This window comes from Homo sapiens, chromosome 16 (assembly GCF_000001405.40).
Source record: "Homo sapiens chromosome 16, GRCh38.p14 Primary Assembly".
Classification (NCBI taxonomy): domain Eukaryota; kingdom Metazoa; phylum Chordata; class Mammalia; order Primates; family Hominidae; genus Homo; species Homo sapiens.
Window position 1 is genome coordinate 19,961,271 of NC_000016.10, and position 10,502 is coordinate 19,971,772.

Below are 10,502 nucleotides of genomic sequence, written 5' to 3' on the forward strand. Positions count from 1 at the left end.
AGTGGCTTAAAACAACAATTCTTATTTATTTTGCTCACTGTTCTGCAATTTGGGCAGGGCCTTCTCTGCTCCAGTGACATCAGCTGGGATGGCTTGATGGGGTGGGGGTTGGCAGGTGGTTCGGAGATTTGTTTTCAGGATGGCTCATTCATATGGCTGGTAAGTTGGTGCTGGCTGTTGGGAAACTCAGCTGGGGCTATGGCCAGGGATCTCAGTCCTCTCCACAAGTCTCTCCATGGCTACTTGGACTTTTCTGCAGCATGGGATTTGGGTTCTAAGAGCAAGTATCCCAAGAGAGGAGGATAGAAATGCATAGCTTTAAAATGATATAACTTTGGAAGTCAGATAGTATCTCTTCCACCGTCCTCTACTGATGGAGGCAGTCATAAAGCTCTGCTCAGGTTCAAGGGAAGGTACTATGGTTTGAATGTTTATCCCCTCCAAAACTTATGTTGAAACTTAAATCCCCAATATGGCAGTATTGAAAAGTGGAGCCTTTAAGAGGTGATTGGACCATGGATGCTCTGCCCTCATGAATAGATTAATCCATTTATGGATTGATGGGTTAATGAATTAATGGGTTATTATGGGAGTGGCATTGCTAACTTTATAAGAGAAGAGACACCTGAGCTAGCATACTCAGCCCCCTTCCAATGTGGTGCCTTCCTCAGAACTCTGCAGAGAGTCCCTACCAGCAAGAAGGCCCTCACCAGGTGCACCCCCCTTGACCTTGGACTTCACAGCCTCCAGAACTGTAAGAAATGAATTTCTTTTCTTTATAAATTTCCCAGTTTAAGGTATTCTGTTATATGCAACAGAAAATGGACTAAAACAGAAGGAGATACAGACTTCACTACTCCATGGATGGAGTATCAAGGTTACATTATAAGAAGAGCAAGTTGGACAAGAGATATTTTTGCCCCCATCTTTGGGAAATCCAATCTGCCACAAGTCTATTTTAGAAAGGGCTTTGGCTCTTGTTCCCTCACCTGACTCTCAAGTTGGGGAGAGGTTGCATAAGTAAACTCTAGAGAGGTGGGGAGGTCAAGAGCATTGGGGACCTGTGTCTCAGCTGTCAGGCCTTTCAGAGAGGCTTCTACTCGGCTCGGCTTGAAATGATAGATAAGAGGCGGCTGTGAGTGTTGTCTGGGCAGACTGGTCAGGGGCAGTCTCACTGCATCATCAACATCCCCAGCGTCTCCTAGGAGAACAGAACATGCTTCTGTGGCCAAGGTTAGCATGGTGGGGGTGGTGAGAGCCTTGTAGGGGAAATGAAGGAAAATAGCCATCACTGACTAGTGAGACCAGAAAGCATTAAGTCCCCATGAAGTCAAGGAGGAGTAACGGCATTGATTGAAGAGAAGCTACTTCTCGGTGGCTACCAAAGGGATAACGAAGGGCCAAAGAGTGCCCCCCACCAATGCCATGATGCTATGAACACCTCCCAGAAATTCGATGCAGCTGGAAGGAGAAGGCAGAAGGAAGTAGACCATGAAATAACCAATGAAACCTTGAATTTGCTGAGTTCTTCCTGAATTGTCTGAGTTTATCCTCAATTGAACAGGATTAGGTTTACTGCAGCCACATAGTGTGGGGGCCCTGGAAAATAACAAAATTCAGTTATAAGGAAGTAAAAGAGATTATATTTTTCTCACCTGGGTTTGCGGCTTTTAAAACGTTATATCTGCTGTAAAGAGATATGCGTTGGCTACAAAAAGCAGCAGAGAACCAAACAATTTTGAAAAAAACATTTAGGAGGTGAGGTCAGGGCTTGGTGCTGAATGAGTCAGTAGGAAATCCAGACGATGATCTTTTGGAATACCTGCATTGTAAGGTGGCTGTCTTCTCTGAATCTTTATGGAACTGAGGGGTAGCCTGGCGACGGACACGGTTTTAATCCTTCTTCTTCTGAAATGCAAGACGGAGCCACAAAATTGAACAGAAAAAAAAATGATAGGCATTTTTGCATCGTTGTCCAATTTGGCCAAGGCTATATCAACTCCACAAGCAAACAAGCACTTGGCATCCCTCGGTAGGTTTTTCCTCGAGTCTCATTAGTTCCCCAAATGGAACAGCTGCTGCCAAAGCAGTTTGCTCCACCAGCCCAGCACTCGCTCCTCTGCCTGCTCAGGCTCCCTCAGCTCTGGAGGAATTAATTTCATCTGTAGCAGAGCTCAGAGGCACTACGGTGACTTCAGTTGGCAGCCAAGGGGCTCCAAGCAGCCAAGCTAAACATGGTGGGGGAAGCAAGCCCTGTTGTCCCAGCTCATTGCCGGCTTGCCAAGACTCCATTAGTTAAGAGCACTTCCTGGTGCAGGCTGGAAAAGGGAGGAGGCTGGAGTGCAATTGCATCCTAAGCATGGAGCACACCTGCAAAGGGGGACCTGTGTTCAGAGCTGCTGCCCCTAGTTTTCTGCATTTATGCTACCTTGTACTCTTCCCTGTAAACGGCCATCCCTATAAGTGCTTCCTTGCACCTGGGCGGCTGGATAGTCTAGTCAGTGGTAATGCTCCTCAAGTGTTAATGTGCACAGGATACCCGAGGATCTTATTATAAAGGCAAGTCTTGGCTGGGTACAGTGGCTCACACTTGTAATCCCAGCACTTTGGGAGGCCAAGGCAGGAGGATCACTTGAGGCCAGGAGTTCAAGACCAGCCTGGGCAACAAAGTGAGGCCTCCATTTCTAAAAAACTAAAAAAATTAGCTGGGCATGGTGGCATGCACCTGTAGTTTTAGCTACTCAGAAGGCTGAGACAGGAGGATCTCTTGAGCCCAGGAGCTTGAGGCTATAGTGAGCAACGATTGTACCATTGCGCTCTATGTACGCTAGCCTGGGCAACAGAGCAAGACCCTGTCTCTAAAAAAAAAAAAAGGAAAAAAAAAAACTTGGCATGTCTTGAGACTCTGACTTTTTAAAATTTATTTATTTATTTATTTATTTATTTATTTATTTTTGAGACAGAGTCTTGCTCTGTCACCCAGGCAGGAGTGCAGTGAGGCAATCTTGTCTCACTGCAATCTCCACCTCCTGAGTTCAAGTGATTCTTGTGCCTCAGCCTCCTGAGTAGCTGGGATTACAGGCGCATGCGACCATGCCTGGCTAACTTTTATATTTTTAGTAGAGATGGGGTTTCACCATGTTGGCCAGGCTGGTCTCGAACTCCTGACCTCAGGCGATTAGCCTGCCTCGGCCTCCCAAAGTGTTGGGATTACAGGCGTGAGCCATCATGCCCGGACTGAAATTATTTTTATTGTGATAAAATATACATAATACAAAGCATACCATTTTAACTGTTTTTAAGTGTACAGTTTTGTGGCATTAAGTATATCACATTGTTGTATGACCAATCTCCAGAACTGTTTTCATCTTCAGCTGAAACTCTACCCGTTAAACAACTCCCCATTCTTCCCTCTCCCCAACTCCCGGCAACCTCCATTCTACTTTTTGTCTCTATGAATTTGACTACTCTAGGGACCTCATATAAGTGGAATTGCACAGTATTTGTCTTTTTGTGGCTGGCTTATTTCACCTAGCACAATGTCCTCAAGGTGCATCCACATTGTTGTATATGTCAGTATTTTCTTCCTTTTTAAGACTGGATAATATACTGTTGTATATACTACATTTTATCCATTCATCAGTCAGCAGACATTTGGGTTGTTTTCATCTTTTGGTTATTGTGAATAACGCTGCTGTGATCATGGATGTACAAATAAGACTTTGCATTTCAAACAAGCTCTCAGGAAAGGCTTGCTGCTGTTGATCCTCGGAACCCACGTTGAGCAGCCAGAGCCCTGTAGTGAAGGGTCTGGGCCCCAGATTCTCACCCTCTGGGTTATATCTTAGGTCTATAATTTATTAGCCATGTGACATTGGGCAAATAATTTTTTTTTTTTGGAGACAGTCTTGCTCTGTCACCAGGCTGGAGTGCAGTGGTGTGATCTCAGCTTACTGCAACCTCTGCCTCCTGGGTTCAAGCGATTCTGCTGTCTCAGCCTCCCAAGTTGCTGGGACTACAGGCATGCACCACCACACCCAGCTAATTTTTTTGTATTTTTAGTAGAGACGGGGTTTCACTATGTTGGCTAGGATGGTCTCGATCTTCTGACCTCATGATCTGCCCATGTTGGCCTTCCAAAGTGTTGGGATTACAGGCATGAGCCACTGCGCCCGGCTGGGCAAATAATTTGTTTTAATTTTTTATTTTTATTTTAGAGGCTGGAATGCTGTGGTGTCATCATGGCTCACTGCAGCCTTGACCTCCTAGGCTCAAGTAATCCTCCTGCCTCAGCCTCCTGAGTAGCTGGGTTTATAGGCATGTGCCACCACACCGAGCTCAGGCAAATAATTTAACCTCAGTCTCCTCCTCTGTTAAATGGAAATAGTAATGGAATCTGCCTTGGAGGGTGATATGGCTTGGCCGTGTCTCCACCCAAATCTCATCTTAAATTGTAGCTCCCACAGTTCCCACGTGTTGTGGGAGGGACCCAGTTGGAGGTAATTGAATCATGGAGGTAGGTCTTTCCTGTGCTATTCTTGTGATAGTGAATAAGTCTCATGAGATCTTATGGTTTTATAAAGGGTAGTTTCCCTGCATAAGTTCTCTTCTCTTATCTGCCACCATGTGAGATGTGCCTTTCACCTTCCACCATGATTGTGAGGCCTCCAGCCATGTGGAACTATGAATTCATTAAATCTCTTTCTTTTGTAAATTTCCCAGTCTCAGGTATGTCTTTATCAGCAGTATGAAAACTAATACAGAGGGCTGGATGGGCATTGAATAAAATGATTATGTGTTAACTGCCTAGCACAATGTCTGGCGTACGTTAGGTTGCCCCCTGTGAAACTGTGCTTTATGAAATTGCCCAGGTCAGAACCTGTCAAATATCAATTCATATGAGCCTGGTCACATGAGAGTTGGTCAAATATCAATTTCATATGAGTCAACCTAATTACAAGCTTTTAAAATATTTTAAATAATAATTATTGAATAATGTTAATATTAACCCTCATTTCCAAACCCTAGTTACTCATCTCCTTCCAGAATATAGTCTGTGTCTTGGGGACTTCCAGAAGGGAAAATCACTACCCCTTTGCTGCTTTCCCATCCCATCTTGACCCCAGCCAGCAGTCACGGCCGCCACCTTGGCCTTCCTTTTGGCAGCATATCCCTTTCCCCCAGCCTGCCAAGGTGAGAAAAAGCCTTCTGAATGTCCAGTGGTGCTGTCTGCATTTTTCTACCTAGAGATAATTTTTTGGTGTGTGTACATCTTGCTTTTGTGTGTGTACAGTTTTACTAGTGACCTGATTTTGCAGAGCTCAGCAACCCGTGAGGACCAATAGGGCCTTGTTGACTAGGACAGTTCAGCGTTTGCTGGTTCATGCATTTAACTGCATAATGCACGATGCCAGTGGACCCAGCCCTGAGTCTTCCCTCATCATCCCTGTAGTCCCATGGGTTTCTCACGTGTCCCCCTGACCAGTCCTCTCAGCTCCCACTCTGCATCCTCTGGTTGACCTTGGCTGTCTGATAAGATATGGGAAGGGAGGACGTTCACTGTGGCTGCTGAGTTGGTGCCTCTGAAAATGCCAAGCCCTTGGTCAGGGGGTTGTGTCCTCCACTCTCCAAAAATGACAATCCCTGGAGATGATGAAAAACACTGCATCTGAGTCCATTTCTTGCTGCATCCTAGTCCCAGGGTGGAGAGAAGGCCTTTCTCGGCTACTCTGGGTCATATTTTATCCTGTGGACCTAGGACCTAAGACGGCCCTTGTTTTTTTTTTTTTTTAGGTGGAGTCTTGCTCTGTCACTCAGGCTAAAGTACAGTGGCACGATCTCGGCTCACTGCAACCTCTGCCTCCTGGATTCAAGCAATTCTCATGCCTCAGCCTCCTGAGTAGCTGGGATTACAGGTGAGTAACACCACACCTGGCTAATGTTCACATGCTGGCCAGGCTGGTCTTGAACTCCTGACCTCAAGTGATCCTCCTGCTGTGGCCTCCCAAAGTGCTGGGATTACAGGCATGAGCCACCGTGCCCAGCCTGTGTTTGGGTTTTATGTTGAAACTAGCTCCTTTGGCTGTGTCTCCCAACCATGATATCCAAGAGGCCAAGTGAAAGGACAAACTCCCAGTCATCCTCTTCATCTTCCCCTATATCTTTGTACCTCAGAGCCCAAACTTTTCCTTGCCGACTCCTCTTACCAAGTGTGAAAAGCATAATCACTAACTTTTACTGAAGGGTATTTTAGATTTTATAATTCCCTCCTAGTTATTTGCCTCCCGATAAGAGGATTATACATCCCTGCTCATTACTGTGTGATTGACATGCCTCCCAGTGAGAGGAGCAACATTCTTGTCCCACTGATACTGGGCTTGGCCCTGTGACTTGCTTTGGCCAGTGGTGTCTGGAGGGATGTGATGGATGTCTGAGCAACTTTAAACTGTTGTCTGTTTCTGCCAGCTCCCTTGTCCCTTTCCTCTGTCACAAGAACAGTACATCTTAGGGCTTATCCTAGAGAGGGGCTGCCCTTCAGCATGAAACCAGGAAGTAAACTTTTGTGGTTGTAAGCCACTGAAATGTTGGAGTTATTTGATATTATAACAAAGCTGATTAATAGAAGAGCTTACCATGTCTAGGCACTGTTCTGTGTTTCATGTATATTTAATAATTCATTTAACTCTTAGAACAATGTTATGAGATATTCGGTTGGTGCAAAAGTAATTGCAAAATGTACTAATTTTGTAATTTTGCGGTTTTTGCAATGAAAAGTAATTGCGAAATGTACTAATTTTGTAATTTTGCGGTTTTTGCAATGAAAAGTAATTGCGAAATGTACTAATTTTGTAATTTTTTGTTACTACAGCAAGCCTACCCCATCCTACATACCAGTCAGGATGGGGTAGGCTTTGCTGCAGTAACAAAAGAAAAAATTCCAAATGCTCTATGGCTTAGCTAGAATAGAGCTTGCTTTTTCCACATGCTGTGTGTCTGCTGAAGGTCAGCAGGGGAATCTTTTCCTCATTGTTCTGAGGAACTCAGGATGATGGAGGCTCCAAATTTTGACATGTGGTCACAGTACAAGAAAGGGCACATAGCACATAGTGCATTGGCTCTTAAAGTTTCTTCCTGGAACAAATACACATCATTGTGCTCATGTTTCACCGGGTCAAAGCAAGCCTTAATTCCACATAGCAACCCTGCAAAGCAGGTGGACTTCTCTCTAGTTCTCAGATGAGGGATCTGAGGTTCAGCAGGTGAAGGACTTGCCCAAGGTCACACAAGGGGGTGGAGCCTGCATTTGAATTCAAATGTGTTTGACTCCAAAGCCTGTTCTCTTAAGCAGCACATCCTTCTGCCTTGGAAAAGCTGGTCTCTCAGGTCAGATGACCTGTGGTTTCCACCAGGAAAGGGTGTTCTTATCTTCAGATTTTTCAGCTTCCTTGAGCTCAGAGATGGCAAACAGAAATCCAAGGGTTGGATTTGACCTCCAGAAGTAATTTGTTTGACTTCTATGTTAAAACATTCTTAAAAATTAATTGCAGGTATTTAAAATGGAAAGATATCAGAAACTCACACACAAATCCCCCTTTCCCAAATTCTTGGAAAATTGAAGATCCTCTCACAATGGGGCTCATTTGCATATGGGCAGGCAACAATGGCCAGTAACCGAGTAGGGCCATCCCTTTTAGGTGATGTCTGTGCTCTCTAGTTTGTCTCGTCCCCTCATCTCCCAGCCCAATTCACTCATTTGTCATGCCCGCCTGGTCCTGGCAGGCACATGAATTTGGACTCCTGCCCTAATTCTCCCCTACTTGGCTTAAGGAGTTGCCAGGTGGAAAACAAGCCTGCACCCAGTCAGTGGAGATGGGAGGGGGTGTGACTTCCTGTACAAAGAAATGAGCAAATGGGTTCACCCATCAATAAAACGGTAACACAATAATCCAGAGTGGTCCCAGCCTCTAGGACAAGCAGGCTACACATGCAGAAGCAGGCTCAGGGACAATCAGATTCAATAAATATAAATTTTATATCATCAAGTTTTGCCACCAGCTCATTAAACTGGAGTAATAAGTATGGGGCTGAGTACCCTGTTAACACACTGCAGCCAGAAGGAGGGCTGATGGAGAACCAGGCAAGGGACTCACTGGGGGAATGGTTACCAGCAATAAGGAAATATTCATCACAGCTGCTGAGGAGGCCTGAGAATGCCCCACGATGCACAAACTGCAGGCCGTGGAGGAAGAGGTGGAGGGAAAACACCGAACAGGAAGCATTTAAGGCAGGGCAATTTGTTCATGGTCCTGGTGAAATTAAGGGACTGTTAACTATCACCCGGTGCCTTGTTCCCTTCTTCAAGAATGCTTTTTCTCCCCAGTGCAGCACAGGGTTGCTGCAGACAGTTGTACAACTGCACAACCCTAGGGGGTGCCATTCCCACCGTGTTCATATGAATGTGTCTGCTGGAGTTGAGCAGTGCCCAGTCTGTACAACTGCACGTGGCAGGCTGGTTCTGGCACTTCCAAGTCCCACACATCTTTCCAAGTCAAGTTCAAATGCCGTGGCCTTCCAGAAGCCTCTTCTAACCTTACTTCCTCTGAACTACCTCTACCTTTTGCTGTCTCAGTTTTCTAGCATTTACCATTTCTCCAGGGAGTTCTTCCCTGACCAGCCCTCTCTCCGACAACCTAAATGAATTTTCTCTTGTTATTCTCTCTCATAGCATCATGTTCTTTCCTTCATGGCATTTATCCACGTTTGTAATTAAATATTTATCTGTGTGATTATTATTTCATGTCCTTTTCGGCAGCTGGGCTGTAACCTCCCTAAGAGCAGAGACCAAGCCTTGATTGGTTCACAGCTTGTAGTCTCATTCGCAGCACATAGTAGGTGCTGGGTAAATATATAATGACGGAAAGAACGTGCATAATTATCATTTCATTTACTATTCTATATGATATAGTTTGGTTCTGTGTCCCTTCCCAAATTTCACTTTGAATCGTAATCCCCATGTGTCGGGGGAGGAACCCGGTCGGAGGTGATTGGATCATGGGGGTGGTTTCCCCCATGCTGTTCTCGTAATAGTGAGTAAGTCTCAAAAGATGCGCTTGTTTGATAAGTGTGGGCCTCTTTCCCCTTCATGCTCTCTCTCTCCCTCTCCTGCTATCTTGTGAAGAAGGTGCCTGCTTTTCCTTTGCCTTCTGCCATGATTGTAAGTTTCCTGAGGCCTCCCCAGCCATTTGGAACTGTGGAGTCAATTAAACCTTTTTCCTTTATAAATTACCCAGTCTCAGGCATTTCTTTATAGCAGTGTGAAAACGGTCTAATACCCTATAGGCTAAGAGAGGGCAGGAACTGGCCTTACTCCTGGTTGGGTCCCCCAAACACTTGGTAAAGTCCTAGCACACAGTAGTTGATCAATCAGTGTTTTATAGAAAAGTAAAGGATATGAGCTCTCATGATGAGATGGACTGTATTTGCTTTGGGCTTTCTCATAGCAAACACCCCTTCCTGGATCTTCACCACTTCTGCTATGCATCTGTCTTCCTCCAGCTTCTTGTCTGAGAGGCTTTAGTACCTAATGGACAAACATGGGTTCCATCTTTCTTAGATGACTGTCTAACTCAGGGTTCACCAAATACAGCCCATGGGTCAAATGCTACCGCTTGCCCATTTTGTACATGAAATCTCATTAGAACACAGCCCGACCCATTTGTTTATGTATTGTCTATGACTGCTTTTGTGCTGCACTGGCAAAGTTGAATAGCTATGACACAGACCATGTGACTCACAAAGCCTAAAAAGTATTTGCTATCTGTCCCTTTACAGAAAAACTTTGCTGACCTCTGTTCTAGCTCAATGGCCTTGAACAAACCATTTAACTTCTCTGAGCCTCAGTTTTCTCACAAAAGGGATTATAGGCGCAGTGGCTCACGTCTGTAATCTTGGCACTTTGGGAGGCCGAGGCGGGTGGATTGCCTGAACTCAGGAGTTCGAGACCAGCCTGGGCAACATGGTGAAACCCCATCTAAAATACAAAATACAAAAAACAAAAAATTAGCTGGGTGTGGCAGCATGCACCTGCAATCCCAGCTACTTGGGAGGCTGAGGCAGGAGAATTGCTTGAACCCAGGAGGCGGAGGTTGCAGTGAGCCAAGATCAAGCCATTGCACTATAGTCTGGGCAACAGAGCGAGACTCTGCCTCAAAAAAGAAAAAAAAATGGCTTATAATAGCTACTACATAAGATTATTGTGAAACTTTATGTATAGTAGGTGTTCGATAAATGTTTGTCTTGTCTCTTTCTTGCTTGCTTTTGTAAACAGAATTCTGGTCCCTTTTCCTGTACCTGAACAGAATCTCTGTGTTGTTCATCCATTCAACACATGTTTATTGGGTGTCAGCTATGTGCTAAGTATTTTGTTAGGTACTGAGCACTCAAGCATGAACAAGGCAAAGACTCTGTCTTCATGGATCTGCTGGTCAATAAGGGGAGACACA

General features: G+C 45.1%; 1 annotated feature.

Annotated features, from left to right (window-relative positions):
* Window positions 7,874-8,374: an enhancer, noted in NCBI's record as "NANOG-H3K4me1 hESC enhancer chr16:19980466-19980966 (GRCh37/hg19 assembly coordinates)". NCBI's record gives its function as "activates a minimal SCP1, AML or CMV promoter by ChIP-STARR-seq in primed H9 embryonic stem cells {active_cell/tissue: H9 hESC(primed)}" and the evidence as "EXISTENCE:reporter gene assay evidence [ECO:0000049][PMID:30033119]".